Below are 25,306 nucleotides of genomic sequence, written 5' to 3' on the forward strand. Positions count from 1 at the left end.
CTCCTTAAATAAAAAAGTATGCATGCTTATCGCAAGCAATTCCAATTCTATTAAAAAAGCTGAGGGAGATGCTTCCAATCCCAGCCCCAGCAAAGGTCAGGCTTTAAGGCCTCCTTTTACGCACTTCTGCACATACAGACACACGTGTACAATGGTAGTCAAACGCAGTGCTTCTCAAAGTCTGGCATATTGAACTATCGCTTGTATGTCTTGTTAAAACACAGATTGCTGGCCCCATTTCCCAAGACTCTGATTCAATTGGTGGGCCTGAAGGGGGCCCGAGAAACTGCATCTCTAACGGTCTCTGCTGATGCTGAGGGGCAGGTCAGAGGCCACATCTTTGAACAGCACTGATGCAGTAACCAACTTTCTTCATATAATTTCAGCTCCTCACAATTTTTAACAGCTGGATTTTCATTCTACGGATACGCTGTAATCGTTTACCCAATCTCCTATAAAAGATACATTGTTGTTTCTCTTGTTTCCATTTGCTTTTTAAACTTAAGAATAGCATAGATTATATACACGTTTTAAAAATTGCAGTATAAAATTAAATGAACAATAAGTCTACCCGCCACTTCTCACCTCCTGTCCTTCAGTAATCCTCCTTAGAGTCAACAATGCTTATCAGCTTTTTGTTCATTCTCCTGGAAATATCCTACATTTGTACATTTACGCTTTCTTTCAAATATGTACAAATGATAATTGATTATCCTGCCTCATAATCACCGATTCTGCTAGCTTGAGAGTTAATGATCTACAAATGTGTGCTATTTTTAGCGATCCTTTTTGCAATGCAACTTTATTGTACTACCATCAATTACTGATTAATTGGTAGCTGATTAATGGCTAGAAAAAATGCCTACCCTCAGGTTTGCTTTTGTCCAGAATTTGCAATGCCAGAAAGGTCCTCTTGAGCTGATGGGCTTATGCCCTACGCCTATTAAAACGCTCTACATAAAACTATGAACAGAATTAACTTATTTGGATACACAGGTGACTTATTGTAAATATTTATGGAGCTATTTGGCAGCCAGTCAATTTGATAAGAGTATTAAATAGAGCATAATGGGCTCAAAAAGTAACTCAATTGATAAATATGTAAAAATATTCAATTCGATAAAATAGATACAAATTTAATAAAATAGATACAAATTTAATCCTATTTTTAAATCTTCACAACAATGAAACATATTTATTTTGATATTTCTAGAAGTAGAGGCTCCCCAACCACAGAATCTGGGCCAAATTTGTCAAAGGGGAAGTTCATTGTAACCTAGGAGAGATCAATTCTAACAAATTTCTAGGAAAGGTCAAACACATGAACATCCTCCTCCTGCAGAGGTACACACTAAGACACATATCCCTGTCTGCCCACCTTGTGCAGCCCACTTACCTGCTACAACAGTAGCCCCATTGAGGTACAGAGCCATGCCCACGAGCATCATGACTCCCAGGGTGAGGATGTAGGGTCTCCGGCGGCCCCACCTGGACCGGCAGTGGTCGCTGGCCGATCCGACCACGGGCTGCAGCAGGAATCCCAGGATGGGGCTGAGGAACCACACAATGCTGTACAGGCTGCTGGGCAGACCTACGCTGAGCAGGACTGGGGTCACATACGCTGCCTCCACCGCGTAGCAGAACTCTCTTCCGAACATGGCCATGCTGTGCATGATGAGTCTGCTGGTGGGTCTTTTAGGCGGCTCCACAGAGTCAAAGGGGCCATCATCAGCTAGGGATTTATAGATGTGGCGGCCAGCCTGCCCACTGTTGCTACCCATGGCCACTGGGAGAGGAACCTTCCTGCGAGCCCACCACCTCCTGCGTGGTCCTAGGGTCTGTGTTTCAAACTGGATTTGACGTGGAGCCTGGCCGAGCAACCAACAGAGATGGTCAGGCTGGGGGAGGGGCTCAAATTCTTTCCTGCCTCTAAGATCACAAGTTATGATGAGAGGGAGGGGGTGGTGCTGGAAAGCATGACAGAGATTAGCAGCTGTGAATCAGCCCTCTGGCTCCATAAGACGTTGGAATACTTTTCTAAAGGGATCCTCCTTTGTACTGTTCCCTCTCTCTTTCTCTCTCTCTCACACACACACACAATTACACGTGATCACACACATGGCTTCTCTCCCTCTCACACACACGTTATTACACGTGATCACACACATGGGCTCTCTCAGACAGTATTACACATGATCACACACATGGTTTCTCTCTCACACACACATGCTATTACACATGATCACACACGTGGCTTCTCTCACACACACATTATTACACATGATCACACACATGGCTTCTCTCACACACACGCTATTAAACGTGATCACACCTGGCTTCTCACACACACATGCTATTACACATGATCACACACGGCTTCTCACACACATGCTATTACACATGATCACACACATGGCTTCTCTCACACACATTACACATGATCACACATGGTTTCTCACATACATGCTATTACACATGATCACACACGGCTTCTCTCATGCATGTTATTACACATGATCATACACATGGCTTCTCACACACATGCTATTACACATGATCACACATGGCTTCTCTCACACACATTACACATGGTCACACATGGCTTCTCTCACATGCGTTATTACACATGATCATACATGGCTTCTCTCTCACATGCTATTACACATGATCACACATGGCTTCTCATGCATTTTATTACACATGACCACACACATGGCTTCTCTCACACACGTTATTACACATGGTCACACATGGCTTCTCTCACGTTATTACACATGATCATACATGGCTTCTCTCACACATTATTACACATGACAGCTTCTCTCTCACACACTATTGCACATGATCACACATGGCTTCTCTCACACACACATGCTATTGCACATGATCACACATGGTTTCTCTCTCACACACGTTATTACACAACGATCACACACGGCTTCTCTCTCATACACATTATTACACATGACCACACACATGGCTTTTCTCTCACACACACTATTACACATGATCACACATGGGGCTTTTCTCGTTATTACACATGATCGGACTCATGGCTTCTCTCACACACACATGCTATTACACATGATTGCACACATAGCTTCTCTCTCACACACGTGTTATTACACATCACACACGGCTTCTCACACACGTTATTTTACACGATCACACACATGGCTTCTCTCACACACGTTATTTTACATGATCACACACATGGCTTCTCTCTCACAGACGTTATTACACATAATTACATATGGCTTCTCTCTCTCATACACACATGCTATTACACATGATCACACACATGGCCGTGAGGTAATAAAGCCTTATTACATAGAGTTTGTCAAAATGTAAATAAATTGATATCTTTTCATAAACTTTTTATAAATATAGACATTCTATTTTTTACTACAAGTTTTCCACACACACAGCTCAGGAGTGAAATAACTAGATTTAAAATGGTGGCAGGTCACACCCTTCTTCAAATCATTAGCTGTGTCAGATCGCCCTGATATTTCTCCTCGTGGTACTTAACACATTTTACAATGAGATAATTCTGGGTTTATTCCATATCCTGTGTTTGTCTTTGATTTCCTCAAGAGCGGAGAACAGGTCTGTTTTGTTCATTATGGTATCCCCAGCAAGTATCATGATACCTGGCACCTAGTAGATCCTCAATAAACATTTGCTAAAGGAATTACTGAGTGAATAAACCATACACACTGCATTTTGTGCTGCCTGTCTGCTCAGATCTATTTCCTTTGGTGCTCTTTATCTTATGGGGCTACATTTCCAGGGTTCCCTTGTTTTCTGGCTTCTAGGTAGATTTGGCTAATGGGAGACACTGGTAGGAAGACTAGGGGAGAGAGAGAAGGAAAGAAGCCAGGATATTTCCCTAGATTTCTTTCTTCTCCCTGAGGTATTACTGCCAGTGTCTATGTCTCCAAGGTGGGTGCAGCAACTTTGGCTTCTGGGTCCAAGTACACCAGCTTTCCCATCACCCCTGCAACCATAGGAGTGGTCTTGGCTTCCTAGTTATGTTCCTATCAGGGTTGCCTCACTATCTTCTGGGCTTCTCTGCTCTTTCGTCACCAGTGGAATTCTTTATATTAAATTTCCTCTGTTTTAAAGACTTCGAGTGGGTTATATTTTCCTTGCTGGACCGAGTTCAAATGAAAAGTCTGAGTTGTAGGGAAAACATCTTTTTTATTATTATTATTTTTATTTATTTATTTAGAGACAGGTTCTTGTTCTGTTGCCTGGGCTAGAGTGCAGTGGTGCAATCCTAATTCACTGTGGCCTCAAATTCCTGGGCTCAAGTGATCCTCCTGCCCCACCCTTGAGTAGATAGGACTACAGGCACACACCACCATACCTGGATAATTTTTTTATTTTTATTTCGTAGAAACGGAGGTCCAGCCAAGTTCCCCAGGCTGGTCTCGAACTCTTGGCCTCAAGTGATCCTCCATGCCTGGGCTGGAAAACATAACCTTATGGGAAAGTTCCTAAAAATGGTTGAAGAACAAGACTGAAGGCTAGAATATGAAAGCTTAAATTCTGATTCTGCCCCTTCCTAGTTGCATATTCCTGAGCAAATATTTTCAACTGGTATTTCTAAAACTGTGCCAAGGCACCCAGGGCATTAGAGTGACCTCACAAGAGTATCTCAGAATATTTAAAAATTTGAACACACAAACACAATGAAACTCAACATCTGTCAGACATCACGTGAACTACTAGTGAGGTAGTTCATTCTTTCAACATAAGATTGCACTATAATCCTTCTGATAATTTCATATTTTTGTGAGACTGGGTTTTCCAGGCCATCTGATAAAAAATCAAGTACTATATGGACACCAACATGGAGCAGAAAATGAGGGCAGCAGTGTCCAATCTCATTCCAGGTGAGAAGTTGCACAGTGTCCAATAGGTGCATACATCTCCTTAGTAAGTAGTTGTGATTAACAATGAAATAGAAATGAAAAATATATTTTTTTATTTATGTGTATTATATTTTTCAAGCAGCTAATAAGTTGGTAGGACATAATATTTAATTCGTTGGGGACCTAATTATTTATAAATTGAATGGTTAGATATTTCTTTTGGCCTAAGCCACCATGAAAAAATCACTGAGGCGCTAAGGGAAACATGAACTAAGAAGCCCTTCTGAGTCTCTGTTTTCTCAACTGTAAGATGAAGAAACCTGCTCCACCTTCCTCTTGCGATTGTTGAACGGCAGTTGAGATACTGCGCAGAATGGACCTTATTGATGGCCTACCCAACATCCATTCTCTACTCCCTCTACTCTGATGGCACCCGGATTAGATTGTGGAATCTACCCCTTCCTCACATGCCTTTAGGAAGTTGAGTCCAGGGAAGCTCCAGGAGCAGGCTGGTTTTATGTAAAGACAATCCCGTCTTCTTTGTCAAAGACAGGTATAAGAAAGGCTTGTAACTTAACTCAGTCCAAGGAGACACAAAACGACTTGCTGGGGGGTCCTGAGATCTTTATTTCTGGATGTTGCTGTGTGTTGGGTATAAGATCCAGAACTTGCTACCAGCCTGAGGAGAAATCAAACACATGGAGAAAGGAAAGCTGACAGCCCAGAGACCCACGGGGAAACAGGCCCCGAGTTACTGGATACAGGCAACCCTAAAACTGACTGTCCCTCTGGACTCTACGTAGTGAGCCAACACATTTCCTCATTATTTTGGATATGTTTTTTTCAGTTGAAGGCATTCTGATTCAATACAGGTGAAACTTTTCTTTGCAAATTACAAAGTGTGATAACTGTTGCTAAAGTTTGGAATGTGCTTAGAGGGAGATCATGAACACCAAGACAAAAGGCCTGGATGCAACCAATCACTCTGTTTCACGTGACTTTTATCACCATACAATTTGTGGCATTTCCTCATTTTCTACATTGTAGAATCAAGAGTGTAAATAAATGTATATCGATGTCTTCAAGAATATATCATTCCTTTTTCACTAGAACCCATTCAAAATATAAGTCAAGAATCTTAATATCAACAAATATATCAAGCAAACTGGAAGGCAGAATAACTACCATAATTTAGTATAAGTACCCAAAGTTTTATAAATCAAAAGCCCTAATGATAACCATTTTTAGAATTCAATCATCACTGTAGAATCAGAGTCTGTAATTCTTTTCTTGATTAGAGTGGTAGGACACTGTAATACTGTTCCTCCATGTTTCCATGCATACAATGTTATGTGTTACTCTACACTGTAAATGCAGTATTCAAATTCACTTGAGCCGTGGGCCTGGAAGTTAGAGACTAGCTTTTACCTTATTACTTTCAATGATTTTATCTGAGTTAAGCTGATAAATCTCTTCGCGGCTGAATCCAAATTCTTCAAGTATCTCCTCAGTGTGTTCTCCTATGAAAGGATCCCTTTTGAAAGAAGGGATGGCTGGGGTGTTTAACAGCAGAGGTGCAGGGCGGGGGCTCACGTCCTGCTCCTCACTGGTGATAAACGAGCCCCGTTCCTTGTTGTGATCATGATGAACAACCTCCTCAAAAGTCAGAACCGGAGTCACACAGGCATCTGTGCCGTCAAAGATTTGACACCACTCTGCCTTCGTCTTCTCTGCAAATACATCTGCAAACTTCTTCTTCATTTCTGGCCAATCATCCATGCTCATCTGATTGGGAAGTTCATCAGACTTTAGTCCAAGTCCTGAGGAAAAATACAATTTCCTAAATTATTATGCTTTGAACAGAGCAATTATAATCAATAAAAATGAATGCTGAGCCCACTGTACTATGCAAAATAAGATGTTCTATAAGGGCTTCTCAAATGAGTCAAGAGAAAAAAATGTAAAATCAGTTTAAGGTTAGAGCCAAAGGCTAGAGAGGGCAGAGGTAGTCAGACTTGTCACTACTGAGATTTTATTATTCACATTTCATCAAAAGTAGTCTGTTTTCAATGGTCTGGTTTCCAGAAATTGATTTCCTACCTCTGAGTAGATTTTGAAAAAAAATTTCCCCAGGGTGTTATTACCAGTCATACTGAGCTAAAATAACTCCCTATTTTCTATAATGTATTCAAACCTTATAAAAAAATAAAATATAAACAATTTTACATTTGGCCATCTCAGTTTCCAAGGAAGAAGCCTGAAGACAAATTATTTAATTCAGGATTGCAATTTTTTAAATACATTCATTTATCTTTATTTTGTTAAAATAAAAGAGCTGGAATGGCCAGGAGTGATGGCACGAGTATACTGCAAGCTACTCGGGAGGCTGAGGCTGGAGGATTGCTTGAGCCCAGGAGTTCAAGGCCCAGCCTGAGCAACACAGCAAGACCCCCATCATCCATCATCCATCCACCCATCCATCCATCCATACAAACATACATACATTTTTAAAATAAAAGAGCCCAAAAGGGCTTTGTACTAGGATGAAGGACTTGTAAGGTAACCAAAGACTCAAGCAAATTGTTCCTATAATAAACAAAACAGAAACTTATTAGCCGCCAGTCAACAGTGGGGCATGCAGACTTTCCTCTCCGGCATGAAAGGGACTTGAAGGGCCCATCAAGACCACAGTGCAGAGGACATGACAGCAGCTACCTGGGGACTTAACAGGAAAGGTGGCCTCTCTAGCTCTTGACCCCATCTGCGTTTCCTTTACTGACTATGTGGTTCTACCCCTGCAGACATGCCCAAACTCCAGTTCTGATTAAATTATACCCAAAGAGCAGGGCTGCTTTACAATAGTTGGTGTAAATTGTCCTTTTTCTTCCCCATATAAGCGGGCTTTTAAAAGTGCATGGCTAAGTGTCGAATGATAATGAAAGGCCCTTTCTTTATGCATCACACTGTGTGTAAGTTTAGCCAAGTTAATTGAATAATCCTCACTTATAGAATACCTTCCTTCTGTAGCATGTTGACAATCAAGGCTAATTGTAAATTGCTCTGAAGATGGTAAAGTCCCTATAGAGGTAAGAAGACATAAATACTGAAGCCTCTTCTTAAGGTTTTGAGGACTATGAGGAAATAGGAAGAACTAACACAGTTCCAGATTTTTGTAAACAGCCTCCTGTGGGATATAAGTACATTTTCTTCTGTAACCACCAGTCCCATTCAAATACCAGGACGGATATGAGGCCATAGTTTCAGGTTATCACTATAATCTACAGGATGTCTTTCACTTGATGTTCTTTCTTGATTGCCCTGAACTCTGTGAGTGAAAGGCACATAAAATGAGCATTGAGCAAAAAGTAGTGATCTTCACATGCTTTTAAAACAGTTTCTTTTTATCAGAATGTGATCAGAATCATAACACTAAGTAAAGCTAGAGCCAATGTGTTCTCTCTTTAACTTTATAGCTGAGATTACACAGGTCATAGTTTGTATGCTAGAAAAATACTAGAAATCAAAAGCCCCCAGATCCTACCCTAACTCTAACACCCCAATTCTCCCATTGTCTACCATCCCTTCACAGCCCACAATCTCCCATCCTGCCCATGACCCTGACCAAGGCCACAGGATTAAACACCAATGGTTTAAGGTGAGCTGTTTGCTGTGCTCCTGACACTCCAATATGGAACTTGGAATCCAGTCCCAAGTCTCAGAATCCATAATTGTATAAATACAGTTATAGATTGTGGCTAGCTGTTATGGTACAATCACTATGAAATTTCTGGCATTTTAAGTCAAACAGATTTTCAGGAACTAGCCTGGGGACTCAGACACCATTTAAAACTTGGGAAAGCATGTTTTGATTCCAAAAAATAACTACCATACACACACACACACACGTTACACAAAATGCTTATTCTTTTAAGTACATGCCATAAACTTTACTGCTTTATAATATTAAGTATATAGTAAGCAGTCAAAATTCAAGTTGTAAGTATTCAATGATATATGTCCAGGATGGCAATTGTAAACACTATTTTATTATTATTATTATTATTATTATTATTTTTGAGACGGAGTCTCCCTCTGTCACCCAGGCTGGAGTGCGGTGGTGTGATCTCGGCTCACTCCAAGCTCTGCCTCCCAGGTTCACGCCATTCTTCCACCTCAGCCTCCCTATTTTTATTTATTTGTTTACTTATTTATTTAAGACAGAGTCTCACACTATTGCCTGGGCTGGAGTGCAATGGCACGATCTCGGCTCACTGCAACCTCCACCTCCCAGGTTCAAGAGATTCTCCTGCCTCAGCCTCCCGAGTAGCTGCGATTGCAGGTGCCTGCCACCATGCCCGGCAAATTTTTTGTATTTTTTAGTAGAGATGGGGTTTCACTATGTTGGCCGGGCTGGTCTCGAACTCCTGCCCTCGTGATCCGCCCGCCTCGGCCTCCCAAAGTGCTGGGATTACAGGTGTGAGCCACCACACCCGGCCATAAAAATTATTTTTATAATACAAAATTGGAAAAAATGTAAATGAACTTGCATAGGGAATTGGTTATATAAATTTTAGTACAGGCAGATCAAAAATATGATATGGCTGCTATATCAAATGGGTGAGGGTGAAGATCTTTTGTACAGACAAGAAAGAATGTCTTTGCTATATTGTTGTATAAAAAGCTATAAATTATAAATTTATATAATTATATATATAAATTATAAATTGTAAAACAGAAAATAATTGCTGGGTGTAGTGGCTCACGCCTGTAATCCCAGCACTTTGGAAGGCTGAGGCAGGAGGATCACTAGAGCCCAGGAGTTCAAGACCAACCTGGGCAACTTAGTAAAGTCCCTGTCTCTACAAAAAAATCAAAAAGTTAGCCAGGCCTGGTGGCACAGGCCTGTGGTCCCAGCTACACGAGAGGCTGAAGCAGGAGGATTGCTTAAGCCCAGGAGGTCAAGACTGCAGGAAGCCATGTTTGTGCCACTGCACTCAAGCCTAGGCAACAGTGTAAGTCCTTGTCTCAAAAAAATAAAATAGAATAGAATAATTGTGCATTTGTATGTGTACAATAAAAATTCTTGAAGGCCACATCCCATATTTTCCCAAACCGTAAGAACAAAGGAAAATTTTCCCTTCTTACTTTTTAAAATCCGTATTGCTTTTTTTTTTCCTAGCAAACATATAATTTTAAATTGTTATTTCATTTTTGAAAATTGTGGTAAAATATACATAAAGTTTACCATTTCAGCCATTTTTTGGTGTACAGTACTAGGGCATTAAGTACACTCATACTGCTTTACATCTATCACCACCATCCATCTGTACCACACAACTCCTGAACTTTTTCAACTTTTCAAACAGAAACTCTGAACCCAGTAAACACTAACTCCCGCTCCTACCTCCCCACAGCCTCTGGCAAGCACCATTCTACTTTCTGTCTCTATGAACTTGACCACTTTAGACATTTCATGTAGTAGAATCATACAGTATTAGCCCTTTGGTGACTGACTTATTTCACTCAGCATAATGTCTTCAAGATTCATCTCTGTTGTAACGTGTTGGAATTTTCTTGTTTTTTTCAGGCTGAATCACATTCCATTTTATGTCTGTACCACATTTTGTTCATCCATTCATCTGTTGATGGACACTTGAGTTGCTTCTACCTCTTGGCTATTGTGAATAATGTCACTATGAACACAGATATACAAATATATGTTTGAGTCACTGCCTCCAATTCTTTTGGTTATATACTTAGAAGTGGAATTGCTAGATCATACAATTCTATGTCTAATTTTCTGAGGAAATGCACGCTGTTTTTGACAGTGGCTACACCACTTTACACTCTCATTGGTAATACACAAGTGTTTCGTTTCCTTACACCCTTGCCAACACTTGTTATTTTGTATTTTTTAGAAATAATAGTTTGAAGGCCAGGAGTGGTGGCTCACTCCTCTAATCCCAGCACTATGGGAGGCTAAGTGGGGGCAGATCACTTGAGGTCAGGAGTTCGAGACCAGCCTGGTCAACATGGTGAAACTCCGTCTCTACTAAAAATACAAAAATTAGCCGGGCGTGGTGGTGGGCACCTGTAATCCCAGCTACTCAGGAGGCTGAGGCAGGAGAATCACTTGAATCCAAGAGGCAGAGGTTACAGTGAGCCGAGATCATGCCACTGCACTCCAGCCTGGGTGACAGAGATCACCCAGCTTTTGAAAATTATCTACTGATAAAACAGCTTTTGAAAATTATCTATTGCTTACCTGATTGTACTATAAGAGACTTGCTATCTCAAAATGTCATAAAATTCTCAGTGTTTTCAGATTATTTTTGTCCTAGAAAATAGCAGGGACGCAGCAGAGTATGCACCTTAAAAAGATTTTGCATACTTATGTTCAGAAACTGAAGATACAGATTAAAGTATGGTATCAAAGATCTAAAACACAAAGGGGAGTAAATTAGATATGTAATTAGTACTACCTCAAAAATTATTACTATTATTGTTGTTGTTTTGAGACAGAGTCTCGCTCTGTCACCCAGGCTGGAGGGCAGTGATGCGATCTCAGTGCACTGCCACCTCTGCCTCCCGGTTCAAGTGATTCTCGTGCCTCAGCCTCCCGAGCAGCTGGGATTACAGACACGCGCCACCATACCTGACTAATTTTTGTATCTTTAGTAGAGACGGGGTTTCACCATGTTGCCCAGGCTGGTCTTGAACTCTTGACCTCAAGTGATCCACCTGCCTCGGCCTCCCAAAGTGCTGGGATTACAGGCATAGCCATCGCACCTGGCCCTCAAAAAATTACTACAGATGTGGGGGTTTGTCCAGTAGGACTTGAGAGAGAAGAAATGTATATGTGATTAGTAAAAGTACTATTTTTGTAAATAAATATTATAAAAGAAAGAGAATGCTGAGGCATTTTGGCATGGACTAGGTAGATTAGGTGAAAGGTGGTTTAACATGCTATCTCCTATAGCACAAGTCATCTGTCAGCTAAGGATCCTAGGTAAACTATGAAGGGAGATGAGGGTTAAGGATATCATAAAAGGCTATGGATGCAAAAAGAGGGGGCTGTAAAAAAATCAGGGGAGTTACAAAGTTTAAACTCAGCAGAAGAATACCCAGGAGAAGGTGATCAGGAGTTAAGGGGTTGGAGCAATGACCCTGCTAGAAAAATGTTGTCTTGTTTCATTTTCAGTGTTTCCAGGAAGGCTCATTCATTGAGGTGAAGTGTGGATATGAAAAATGAGCACTCCACACATACAGCAGTGCTTCTTCATCCGAGGTTTGGCTTTCTGTGGTTTCAGTTACCCACAGTCAACCATGGTCTGAAAATACTGAATGAAAAATTCCAGAAATAAACAATTCATAAATTTAAATTGCATGCTGTTCTGAGTAGCATGATGCATGATGAAACCTCACATCATCCTGCTCCATCCTGCCTTGGACATGAACCATGTCCATCCCATCCACACTGTGGGGCTATCAGCCCATTAGTCACTTAGCAGCCAACTAGGTTGTCAGGTTGACTGCTGCAGTATTGCAGTGCTTGTGTTCAAGTAACCCTTATTTTACTTCCTAAGGGCCCCAAAGGTTGTAAGCAAAGGTGATGCTGGCAATGTGGATATGCCAAAGAGAAGCCTAACGTGCTTCCCTTAAGTGAAAAGGTGAAAGCTCTCAGCTTAAGGGAAGAATAAAACTCATAAGCCAAGGTTGCTAAAATCGACTGTTAAGAATGAATCTTATATTCATGAGATTGTGAAGAAGGGGAGAAGGAAAAAGAAATTCATGCTAGTTTTGCTGTCACAACTCAGACTGAAAAGTTACAGCCATAGTGCATAAGTGCTTAATTAAGATGGAAAACGCATTAACTTTGTGGGTGGAAGACATAAACAGAAACATCTTCCAATTGACCGCAATCAGGTTCAGTACTATCTGCAGTTTCAGGCACCCACTGGGGGTCTTGCAATGCATCCCCCACAGATAAGAGAGGACTACTGTATATGTTTTAAAATAACAGGATACACCAAGGAAGGGAGTTAACTCCAGAGTGGCAGAATGACAGCCTTCAAAAACCGGCATTAAAGCAATGAGAACACTAACAACAACTGTCAGAATTAACTTTTTCATAATTCTGGAAATTAAAAGCTTGCAGCAAGCCAAGGAGCATTTATTCAAGAAAAACAGCTGAATCTCAGTAAGAGCAGTGAGCTTTGTGGTGTTAGAACTTGTGCTAATTTCAACCCTCTCCCTGTGGTAGCCTTGAAAAACAACTTCCTCTCAACTCTGGTCAGTTCTGAAAACCAGCAGGAGAATAGCCCCGAGAGGAGGAAAAGAAGTTTGCAGCTTCCCCCAAAATCCCATCCCCAGAGAACTGTCATTATTTAGCCTGTCTGGCAGCTCCCTGAAAGGCTCCATTCTCAGGGCTTGTCTTTCTGACTCAGAGCTCACTTTGCTCTAGCCCTAAATTGTTGATTTAATAAAAAAAAAAGGCAATATTTTATCGCAGCTGTCTTAGGTGGTGTTATTTATTGCAGCTCATAAGATGCTGACCAAAAAACTCAAAAGAATAAACTGGGGAATGGGATATCCATAGGGGACTTTGAAAAGCTCCAACATATTCCTGAGAATTTTTTTTGCAACTCCTGAGAAGGCAACGCACACGTACACACGCAGGGCAGTATGAATGCCTGGGAGAGATCTGTAAAGGCCCTCGTCTCTCACCTCTGGCTGACCTTGAGGCTCTTCACAAGCAAGAAGTTAAGGCATATAGTGCCTCAGAAAAAGATGGGAGATTTATTGGTTCAAGGCATTTAAGGGCCAGGCGCAGTGGCTCATGCCTGAAATCCCAGTACTTTGGGAAGCTGAGGCAGGAGGATAGCTTGAAGTCAGGAGTTCAAGATCAGCCTCAGCAAAATAGCAAGATTCTATTTCGACCAAAAATAAAAAATTTTGCCTATAGTCCCAGCTACTTGGGAGACTGAAGCAGGAGAATCACTGGTACCCCAGAGTTCAAGGCTGCAGAGTTCAAGGCTATGATCACACCACTGCACTCCAGCCTTGGCAACAGAGTGAGACCCTGTCCCCTAGATTAAAACAAACAAGCAAACAAAAAAAAAAGGTATTTAAGGACATTTCTGTCCAATCATTAGCTGAAGCTAACTCAGCTGACTTCGGTGGCTGCACATGCCAAAGAATACAGATTTAATTTAAGAAAATCATTAAACAAACAGCAACAATAACAAGCCCAGGACTGAGGGATCCTGAGGAGTCCTGGGAGTTGTCACATTAAATTATTTAAAATGTCCAGTATTTTTTTTTAATTTTACACGTTTATTTTCATTAAAACTTATTTAAGTCACTTTGGACCCAGCATGTCCTTAGGTTTTACCCATTCATCAAACTGCTCTGCTGTGAGAGAGCCAAGTTCAACGGCAGTTTCCTTTAAGGTTGATCCATTTTGGGGTGTTGTCTTAGCAATTCTGCTGTTTTGTCATACCCTATATGAGGGTTGAGAGCTGTCACCAGCATTAGCGACTAATTCATTAGCTTCTTGATCCTTTCTTTATTGGTCCGGATTCCCACTATTTAGTTTTCTGTGAAGGAAACTGAAGCATCCCCCAGCAGCCTGAGTGTAACATAAATTTTTAATCATCATTGGCTTGAAAACATCCAACTCAAAATGGCCATTGCCGCCTCCAACGGTTACTGCCACACAAAACCCCATGACTTGGGCTGCAACGATGGCCATTGCTTCACACTGACGAGGGTTTGCCTTGCCTGGCACGATACTGCTTCCTGTTGTATTTTCAGCAAGATCAGTTCTCCCAGACCTGGCCAAGGACCAGAACTCAGAAAATGAATATCATTTGCTATCTTCATCAGACTGCAGGTGGCAGTGTTCATGGCTCCACAGAGCTCCACCAGAGCATCATGAGCAGCCAGAGCTTCCAATTTATTTGGAGCAGTGACAAAAGGCAAGCTTTTTAATTTCTGGACAGAGAGGTACCCTTTATGATCTAGATAAACCATTGTGTTCTTCTATAGTTTTTCCAACTATATTTGAATAGGTGAAGTTAATATGTTTAATCATAAAATGCTCTCAGATGCTTGCAAAAACAATTACTCCATCAGATAAGAACACATCAAAAATTTGGAAAATTTAAAAAAAGTCATTCCAGCTATATGCAAATAACTTTTAGTATATGCATCTGAAAAGCTACCAAACGTAACAATGAAACTCTAAACTTGTAGTAGAAAGGTAAATGCACTGTGATCAGCTTTCACATCACTTCAGAGTATATTCTAAAACTTCTTAGATTCTACATTATTTATAGAGTGAACTCTAAATTCAAACATTTCTCAGGAACAAAACGACTCCCATCCAATTATTTAATTAGGGAAGAAGAGATCCCAAATTTTCTTGCTAATTTATGACAACTTGCCAAGCAGGCAAGAATCTGCAAGACAGGTCATCTGCAAAGGCATAGTGATATAGTAACATATTCTAACAGAATCTCATTTGGCAAAATCTTTCCATGCTCTGGTGACTTCTGACATTGAAGTGCCATAAGGGACATCTACCAAGAAATAGGAGCTGGTAGAATATTGAATGGAAAGCAACCCATGTGAGATCATTTCTAGGGAAGAGTAAGATCTGGGCACACAGGGTCAAGATTATCCAACACAAGGAGTGAACTGTAATAAAAGCACCGAACATCCTACAAAAGGGATTATTATTTTTAAAACCCTCAGCTATTTTATAGACTAGTAAGACTGCTGGTCAATTTAAAAGCCATGGAAAATGCCCCACATTATATTGATGGCTATAATTAGGTTAATTAGAAAGTGGCTATATAATAAAAGACATCCTAGATGCCAAAAGTCTTTAAAATAGAACCAAAGAACATCCACAGCAAAAGGGGAACTGGGGGAGACGCGTGAAGTTCACTTACCTTTGATCAGCAGCTCGTAGAACTGGGGTTCTATTGCTCCAACAGCCATGAATTCCCCATCTGCTGTCCTGTAAGTCGTATAGAAAGGTGCTCCACCATCCAACATGTTCTGTCCTCGAGGTGCTTCCCACAGACTCAATTTCTGAGTTTTCCACAGAAAAGAACTTAAATATGCTGTTCCTTCCACCTTTGAGAAAACAGAATACAAGACAAATCCAGATAACTCAAGTGTCAAAGCATGAATAATTCCTCCCATTCAAGTTAAAAAAAATTTGCGTAAAAATTCTTATCTTAGAGTATACGAAGATTCTACCTAATTACACAACTTCTCTGGTATTTCCAGAAAGTGAGTTAGAGCAGTTTGTGTTAAAATAACAATTGGCTGCACTATTCAGTTCCAAAAATACTATAAGACTTAGAAGAAATGACCTTTGCTTTCCATTTCAAATAAGATTGGCAAAATGCTAGTGATTTAGCTAGGTGAGGGTACATGGAAGGTCACTATACTATTCTCTCTACTTTTTATAATGTTAAAAACTGCCAAGATAAAAAGTTAAAAATTAAAAGAGCTTTTAAAAATCCATCTTCTGATCTCCATACCTATAAACACACACAGATGTATAAACCATACCACATTTTAAAGGTAAATCACATAAGAGTAAAATTTGGCTTATTCTGGCTTGATTCCAATCCCAAGAAAACTGTATTTGAGTATTTAATGTATTTCATAATCACTAGAAAGTTATAAAATAAACTAACAATATGGATGGCAGGTATGTGCATTTTCTGAGTCCAGGCAAACTGGTTTGGGAATGCCACCTTCCCACTGAGTCCTAAAGTCATCTCATCACGCCACCTTCCCACTGAGTCCTGAAGTAATTACACAATAAAGTACAATTATCACAAGGCTCAAACTCAAAGGCTGAAGGCACTGGACTATTTGAAGAAGATGATGTTCTGACCTTTATGCCTTTTATGAGCCTAATGTCTCCAGCACCCCAGGAGGAAGGCCTTCAAAGCATCCTCGTCTCAAAAGCTACCAATAGAGCAGGCCTCATTCCAACTGCTAGCAATTTCTCAGTTACTGACTGTGGAACAACCACAAAATGTATCTTTGGATATATCCAATTTTCCCTCTTAACTTGAAATTTCACGCACATCTGAATTTATGGCTGTGACATTTATTGTCACCAAATAGCTGAGTTCATGCAAGTGGCCTACGGCAGTGCCTTTTTTTGAGGCTGGATTACAGAGATATTAGAGTTCCACATTTATACACATACACACACACACATATATACACATATGCATGTATATGCGCACTATTTTAAATATATTTTATGTTTATGTTATTTAAGCACATATTTAAATGTATCCTATACCAAATTCTGACTCATCAGAGCCTCAACTCATTAACATTTGTTGCTAGACTTTAAAATAAAGCTTTTCCTTCCAATTTTGCATAAATATTACCTTGTATTTGAAACACTATTGAGGAAAACCTTTGTTCTGCATGGTTCTCCTCTCCTCTTAATTTGTGCTGACTCATACAAAACCAACAAGTTAGCACCTTCAATAAGCAAGTGCCTGCTTTCCGCTCAAGCTTTACTTCTCTCAGAGCCTAACGCCGAATCAATAGGGCGGTAATAGATGAACTGGAAGCAAGCTTGTCATACAGTGCAAGAGAGAGTTTTAGCAGAGAGTTCTGAATACTGTTTATCTGGCTTTCATGTTCAGGCCAAAGAATGTGAGAAGTTTTTACACACTGTAGTGAGTCGACCTAGAAACAAAGTATTTTTGTTCTGCTTCATCATAAATGAAATGCAATCTGAAATTTTAAGCAAGTTTTTAAAAATATAGGGTCTTTTTTTTTTTGAAATGGAGTGTCACTCTGTTGCCCAGGTTGGAGTGCAGTGGCACAATCTCAGCTCACCGTAACCTCCACCTCCAAGGTTCAAGCGATTCTCCTGCCTCAGATTCCCGAGTAGCGGGATTACAGGTGCCTACCACACCCAGCTAATTTTTGCGTAAAAACTATGGATATTTTTAACTTATCTCTGTAACTCAGGATTTTCCTAACATCCAGTCAAAATGAAATACAGTAATAAACTGAATACTGAAAGCGATGAGACAATCACCCATAAACTCTAACTTCCAGTGTTTGTGTTTAGCAGAACAGCTTCGTTGGTCTGACAAAATAATATATAAATATTGAATATGTAAACATAAAATGTTTTATGCTAATAAAATACCCCTTTAATCTCTTTTATATGTTGAACGCCCTGATGAGACTGCTGAAAAATAGACGTGTTAACAGAGTTACAGATCCAGTTGGGTCCACTCAGGACAAAAACAAGCTCTGGTCTAATCCTTAGCATCAGAGGAGGTACAGGACAAGAAATACAGCAGGAACCCTCCTCGTCTCATCATAAGGCCTGGCAGTGGCTACCCTGGCACACGGCTTCTCTTGCCCCATCACTCATATACCATGCATGCGAGTGAAGAGCCCCCTGACACAGGGAAACCGCAGCCTCAATTTGCCACCAACCTTTGATACTGTTAAAAGAAAAACTTTAGACGAATTAATTTAAGAGTTTAACTGAGCAACGAATGACTCATGAATTGGGCAGTCTGTGGAACCAGACTAGGTTCAGAGCGACTAGTGTAGCCCTGGGGCCAAAGAGGACTTATGGACGGAAAATGATGTACAGAAAACAGAAGTGAGGTACAGAAACAGCCGGATTGGTTACAAGTGGGCCTTTGCCTTGTTTGAACATGGTTTGAACAGCTGGCCGCCTGTGATTAGTTGAAGTACGGCTGCTGTGATTGGCTGAGACTTGCTGCTTGTTACAAAAGCAGGTTACAGTCTGTTTACACATCCAGTTAGGTCACAGCTCATTATGTAAGAGAAACCTTTAGGTGGAACTTAAAATACGTAAGGGGGCAGCTTTATGCTACAGTTAATTTAACAACGCTGTGCTCATCATGTGGGCTCAGATTGAGTGTAAATACAGCAAAACGCACTCCATATTCCAGAGTTATCTTAACTACAGTTTCCAAGGAAACAGCACTACAATAAGGCAGCCTCCAGCTCTTCACAGGCAGGCCCAGGTCTGGAATTCTGCTGCTAAACACTGTGAAAACTTTCGGCCCATTAGAAGGTATCTGCCTTCCCCTAATCAGCTTCTGCAATTGCCTGTGTCACAAGGGGTCCTAGTGATGAAGTAATGACTATGATTTACTGATTCTTTTAGCCTTGTGTAATTAGCAAACACTTACTAGCCCCTAATGGAAATATGAACCCAGAAGAAAGATTACAACATTTTCACATACCCTAAAACCTTACTATCTTCTTTATTTAATTTATTTATTTTGAAACACGGTCTCACTCTGTCACCCAGGCTGAAGTGTAGTAGTGTGGTCTCGGCTCACTGCAACCTCTGCCTCCTGGGTTCAAGCAATTCTCATGCCTCAGCCTCCCAGGGAGCTGGGACTGCAGACGCGTACCACCAAGCCCAGCTACTTTTTTGTATTTTAGTAGAGATGGGGTTTCACCATGTTGGCCAGGCTGGTCTCGAACTCCTGACCTCAGGTGATCCACCCACCTCAGCCTCCCAAAGTGCTGGGATTACAGGCGTGAGCCACCATGCCCAGCCAACCTTACTATCTTCTAATCATTATATAATTCTGATTAGCTACATTCTGCTGAAAGCAGCAATCACCTTTTATTTATATTTGATGATAATCAATTGCATCTCTTCAGTAAATTATTCAAATTATTACTAGAGAAGTATCTAGGCTCAAATTCTCCTTAACACTCCCAAGACTCCATGTTTGCTCTTAGTTCATTCCTTTTGGACCCCAGGGACCATGCTCTTGGGGCAGCAGGGGAAGTTGTTGAAAGCAGTGGCTTTAGGGTCCAACTGCCTGGGGCAGTGCTTCGGACCCTTTCCCGTCATCTGCTTTAGAGGAAGGCAGTTAACCTCGCCAAGCCTTCAAGTCTTCAATGCCAATGATAGTAGCACGTCTCCCTCAGGGAACTGTGTGGATCACAGAAGCCCTGTGGAAGGTACCGGTCTTGAGTTTGGCGGGTACTGGTATAAATCCGGTGCTGCTATCTCATGCAGCGACTATGCCATGAGTACGCCAAGAGCTGGCCCACAAAAGATAAACCACACTCCCCTGCTGCTGGTACACACTTCAGAGAGGGCACACTGGAAAGTGTGAGATGTGCCCTGATGACAGTGTCCCACAGGCACACACTCAGTACAGGGCTGGTCATGATTCACCATGAACAGGAGAAGGAAGCGCAGGCTGAAGCTTTGGAGATGAGGGGGTTTCTGGTAGAAAATGGATTTTGTGAAGATCAGCCAGGACCCAATCCAGTTGACACTCTCAGTCTCTAAACTCTTGAGGTATCCACCAACATTTGACCCTCTGACCACTCCTTTCTTTGGTTTCCATGACAACACTCCATTCTGCTTCTCTCCTTAGCTGTCCTCAGCCCTTGCTTCTCTTTTCTGCCCACGCATTCCTTAAATGCCGGTGTTCTATCCCCTTTCCTAGTGGATCACATAGTCTCATATGGCTCCCAAATAACTCCGAAATCTGTTTCTAGTCCCTAACCTCAAGTATCCCACCTGGATATCTGAAAGGCACTTTAAAACTGAAAAGACCAAAACTGAGTTCCTTTTCTTCTAGTAAAAATAACCACAATGACAAACTTTTACAGAGGGCCCACTGTACGCCAGGCACTGTTCCCACACTGAACAATGGATGAACTCATTGAATTCTCATAGCAACTAACAATGCTATGAGGTGGATGTCATTATTATCTCCATTTTACAAAGGAAACTACAGCACAGAGAGGTTAAGTAACTTGCCCAAGATCACAGAGCTAGTAAATGGCAGAGCTGGGACGGAGGTAGTCAGCTGCCACTCTATGCTCTGACCACTGTGTTCAGCAGTCTTCCCTCAAGACACTAGCAGGTCATCTAAGCCAGAAACCTGGGAGCCAGCCTCAACTTCTCCCTCTTCGCTCCCTGTCAGTCCATTATCAATTCCCAGCAATTTTATACCTCAAATGTCCCTTCAATGCAAACCAACTCTACCATTAACTGCTTTAGTACTTGCCCTGATCTCTTCAGCAATAACCCAGTCATTGGTCTCTGTACCTCCAGTCTTGTCTCCTCAGATCCATTCTCCATCCCACCTCCAAATGTCTGTGAAAATGCAAACACGCAGTGGTGGTGCTGGAGTGGGCTCTCTTACCCACTAGCTGTGAGATCTTGAGCAAATGGCAATGCTTCCGTTCCCTCCTCTTTAAAACAACAAGGTATTCCAAATGCAGTTTTGAGAATAAGAAGAAATCACACAGGGAATGTGCTCAGCAGAACATGAGGCAAGCACTCAGTGGATGACAGTGAACAAACAGAAGTGTTATGATATCAGAGCATCCCCTATAAAACGCAGCAGGAAGGTTTAGACAGGGAGGTCCATTTGACCTTAGCATTCCTAAGAATTTTCTCTACCAGCTGAGGGAGACTTCTTGAACTTTTTTTGAATGACGACTGCTTGAAAATGATATACTAAGCACAAGAGATACTTGGGGAAAATTGTTGAAATATTTAGGTTGGCAAATATTTGGCAAAACCTGCAATTACTTTTGCACCAACCTAAAACAACGTAGGAATCACATGAGTCACAGAAAGTTCAGAGAACTGACTCCAAGGACAGATGATCAAAATATGACATTCTAACAGATATATAAAAGACATAAGTCTATTTTAAAAAGAAAAGGATATCCTTGGTAACCTGGCTTGAAACTTCAAATGTCATTTATCTCTTGTCTTCTTCTTCAAAAAAAGGATTTTAAGCAGCTATATCTTAAACTTAGGGACAAGTGGCAGGCATCTACCCCAATTAATACTTACCATATTTGCATCAATGACCTGACCCTTGCCAGTGCGTGTGCGGTCAAAAAGAGCCATTATAATGCCCAGTGCACACATAAGGCCACCACCAGCAAAGTCAGCCAGGAGATTCAGCGGGGCATACGGATTCTCACCACTTCTGCCAATTTTTGAGAGAACACCTACATCATTAAAAACAAATTTAATGTCTCTTTTAAATTTAATCTCTTCTTAAAATAAATATGTGAGCATCTTAGAGGAATAATCAATCTCTCCAGCAGATAATCTAAGTGAAAGCTAGTATACATCACTTTTCCAAATCTGAGCTTAGTCAGTAAACTCATAAACAGGCTTTCCCTCAAGACAGGATCCTTGTTTTGTTGTTTTCCTCTCTAAAACCTATTCCAACCAACATTTTCAAATATTGCTAAGTTTTTACTCACTTACTTTTGGAAAAGAAAATGATTATTTATTTTGTGGTTTTAAAACAGTAAATGCACTTTCATTCTTAGCATAAAGAAATGTAAGAAAATACTTGCAGACAAGAAAAAAAAGGAATTTAATTTTTAAGTAGATGTGAAGAGACAATTCTATACCCACTTCTTTCCTCAACTTTTAAATGTGTACTCACAGAAAATCTGAAATGTCCTATAGTCAACAACACATGGTTCTTAGAATTCTGGAATCAGGCCTATCTCACATGTCGTCACAGGCAAAAACTCTAATAAAGTGATATTAGGACCTGAAAACCATGGGCTTTTTTTAGTGCTCATAGAAGTCTGAAACAATGACTCAGGCAATGATTCTCAATATGGTGGGTGGAGATTTCGGGGTCCGGGGGAGAAGTAGCTGTCAGAATCTAACTATGTCAACATTTTCAAACCACAGAGCAACCATCCGTAGTACCCAGTAAGCCTCTTAATTCCTAGCAGGGGTTTGTCTGAGAATTGACTCAACAAATGTAGTAAATAAATGATAGTAGTGGGCATGTATTAACCTTCCAACCTGTTAAGGGATGGGGTGAGGGAAGGTTGAGAATGATTGTTTCAAGACTCAAACCGATCCATTTTGAACACCCATGCTCTCTTGATTGATTCTGATAAATGTTTAAATTTTTACCTTTACAAATTATTGTTAATCAACATACCTGTAGATCTTGATGGAATAAATTAAAAGTGTAGACTAAATTTTTTTTCAACATACCTGACAAAGCCAAATAGTTGATATCGTGGCCAGCTAACCGGCAGAAGCTTCCTGACTGGCCAAATCCACTCAGCCTGGCATAAATAAGCCTTGGATTTTCCCGCTGCAGAATCTCTGGGCCCAGCTGGAGTTTCTCCATGACACCTTAAGAGAAAAGTAACGATCTTCTTAAGAGAGTATGAATTGAGGATGGAGATAATCCCTTCTCTGAGACAAACATAAAATAGCACCATTGCAAGTAATATTAATAACATTTGCTGTAGGCTAATGGCATGTTTACAGCAGTTAAGGACTCAAAGAGTGAAGCCACCATTTCTGGAATGTGTGGCTTCTTCCCAGGATGTAATTTCTCCCAGTACATCTCTGTTTCCCTCTAGGTTTATCCAAGCCTATTTATTCAATCCCCAGAGCAGGGTCTCATCCCTTTAGTAAATCCCTTTTCTCTTTTTCTATACCGCATCAGTGTTTACCACATCCCACCTTAGCTGCACTTGCTTGTACATGCATACACTTATCTTCCCTATCAGCTCATGAGCTCCTCCTGCAGAATTTACACCTGATGTTTCCACAGGCGCTAAAGTGCCTAGCATCAGTACCTTCACGAAAAAGTTTAGCACCCATCTGTAGAAAGAGTGGTTAGTGACAATAGCACCTGAGAGTTTTTAAGCTATCAACAAGTATAGTATTTATAGCACAAACCCCAGGTAACCAGCACCTGAAATTTCCTGGGATTAAAAGTAATCAAAATTACATAATAAACTCACTATCTTTACCTTCCTAAGGCTAAAATAAATCACAGAAAACCTCTAGTCATCTACCTAAACACCAGTCACAACTCCTCACCCGGAGGCTATATCCGTATTCCCAGCCGACCTTCCTCCTAATTACAAGACCTTGGACAAGCCTCCCTCATCTTAAATGGAGCATTCTTAAATTATTACATAATCTTAATTATTAAATCATTATTGTTACAAGCCTCAAATACAGCTGTGAGGGTTAAATGAGTTAACGCATTTAAATAAGCCGGCTGTGCCGTAGGCATTCATTCATTCACCATTTACCGATTTCCCACTATAGACCAGGCAATGCTTTGGATTTCTACTTGAACAAAGTTATTCTGGCAGCTGTCTGAGAATCCACTGGAGTGATACCAGCCCCAAACACCAGTTTTTAAAAGGCTGTCACACCAGTGTCAAGGCAGTTGCAGCAGGTATGGAGAGAAATAGTCCGAGTGGGCTAAGGAGCAAAATGACTGTATTGATGATCATTGAAATTGGATGTGAAAGGAAGACTGGAGTCCATGATGAAGTACAAGTTTGAGATTCAGGCATTCACTGAAATAAATAATACAGAAGGTGGAGATGCTGTTTTAGAAGGAAGAAGGAAAGGCTCATTTTGGGATTTGTGGAAGCTGCCTGGCGGGCAGCCTTGACGGCGATGCCCAGGACCTGTGTATGCCAGCGTCTGCCGCTCTGAAAGGGGGAAGTCTACAAAAAGGTGAAAATGATGGGAATGGGTAACTGGGCTTCAGGGAGCAGATGCTGAGACTTAGAACGCCAGCATTTCAGGCAGGGAGGAGCGTTAGCCTGGGCCCGTGGATGGCTTGAGGGTACAGCACTCCAAAACGGTAGCCGAATGACCGCCTATATGCAGTTTTCCAGGAAGGGAATCCTATGGCTTTCATTAGATTCTCACAGGGTTCAAGACCCTCAATTAATTAAGAAAGGCAAATACGGAACGTTTCTTAGAAAAAAAAGGAGGAATTTGGGAAGGAGTCAGAGAGGCAAAAGGAGAAACCGGGCAACAGCAGTATCTCAGAACCCAAGTTTTGGACAATCCAGTTTGGGAAGAATGATCACTAACAATACCCTAGGAGGCAAAAATCTGGAAGGCTGGGGCCGACAAGGGTTCTTGCGGCAACAGGGCAAAGGTGTGGCGGGTGCAGCCTCGATCGAACGGCCAGGCCCCTCCCCTCCGCGGGAACTTCCCGAGAGCAGCCCGCGGGGCCCGGGCTCACCGCGGCGGAAGGGCTCCAGCAGCACATCCGACCGCTTGCACAGACGCCGCAGCACGGCGGCTCCCCGCGGCTGCTTCAGGTCCAGCACTAGCGAGCGCTTGCCCCGGCCCAAGCGGCTCACGTCGTAGCGGGAGCCGGGCCGGTCCACGCGTACCACACGCGCCCCGAAGTCAGCCAGGACCATAGCACAGAACGGGCCCGGGGCCAGGCCGGACAGCTCCACGACCGAGATGCCCTGCAGTGCCATGGCGCTTCCCAGTGCCCCGCTGAAGGAAACTGAGCAGCCCTTAGCCCCAGCCCAGCAGCCTGCAAGAAGCCCTCCCAATCCCCGGCGCC

The 25,306-nt window shown here is 41.6% G+C and overlaps 2 protein-coding genes and 1 long non-coding RNA gene across 9 annotated transcripts in view; all 3 read right to left on the bottom strand.

The window, feature by feature from the left end:
• The window catches only part of SLC45A2 (solute carrier family 45 member 2), a 40,071-nt gene extending 38,180 nt beyond the window's left edge, over positions 1-1,891 (bottom strand). For all 5 annotated transcript variants that reach the window (XM_047417259.1, NM_016180.5, NM_001012509.4 and 2 more), the window contains exon 1: positions 1,397-1,891. In XM_047417259.1, coding sequence (XP_047273215.1) covers positions 1,397-1,781 — 385 coding nt within the window. In that variant the 5' untranslated portion in view covers positions 1,782-1,891. The remainder of the gene's footprint in view (positions 1-1,396) is intronic.
• Positions 3,363-25,248, bottom strand: AMACR (alpha-methylacyl-CoA racemase). Of its 3 annotated transcripts, NM_001167595.2 has the most exons (6): positions 24,971-25,248; positions 22,954-23,097; positions 21,772-21,932; positions 15,839-16,025; positions 6,309-6,700; positions 4,184-5,559 (listed from the first exon to the last, which is right to left on the bottom strand). In NM_001167595.2, the coding sequence occupies exons 1-6, from the start codon at positions 25,215-25,217 to the stop codon at positions 5,506-5,508; spliced, it is 1,185 nt and encodes a 394-aa protein (NP_001161067.1). In that variant the 5' UTR covers positions 25,218-25,248; the 3' UTR covers positions 4,184-5,505. The 3 variants fall into 3 exon arrangements, with proteins under 3 accessions (NP_055139.4, NP_976316.1, NP_001161067.1); NM_014324.6 differs by having other exon boundaries at positions 3,363-6,700; NM_203382.3 differs by lacking the exon at positions 21,772-21,932 and having other exon boundaries at positions 3,363-6,700.
• Positions 4,184-25,306, bottom strand: part of C1QTNF3-AMACR (C1QTNF3-AMACR readthrough (NMD candidate)) — a 137,543-nt gene continuing 116,420 nt past the window's right edge. The window contains exons 7-9 of the long non-coding RNA NR_037951.1: positions 22,954-23,097; positions 15,839-16,025; positions 4,184-6,700 (exon numbers count right to left, since the gene is read on the bottom strand). This is a non-coding gene — a long non-coding RNA (C1QTNF3-AMACR readthrough (NMD candidate)). The remainder of the gene's footprint in view (positions 6,701-15,838; positions 16,026-22,953; positions 23,098-25,306) is intronic.

The sequence above is a fragment of the Homo sapiens genome, chromosome 5 (assembly GCF_000001405.40).
Source record: "Homo sapiens chromosome 5, GRCh38.p14 Primary Assembly".
In the NCBI taxonomy this organism is placed as follows: Eukaryota; Metazoa; Chordata; class Mammalia; order Primates; family Hominidae; genus Homo; species Homo sapiens.

Bases quoted from the DNA above. Each gene is read 5' to 3' on its own strand.
- AMACR (NM_001167595.2), bottom strand. From the start codon at position 25,217: ATGGCACTGCAGGGCATCTCGGTCGTGGAGCTGTCCGGCCTGGCCCCG. The intron at 6,701-15,838 runs GTAAGTGAACTT...ATTTTTCCTCAG, and splicing joins CTACGAGCTGCTGATCAAAG to GACTTGGACTAAAGTCTGAT. The intron at 5,560-6,308 runs GTAAAAGCTAGT...ATTTCTCCTCAG, and splicing joins AAATCATTGAAAGTAATAAG to GCTGGTAGCAAGTTCTGGAT.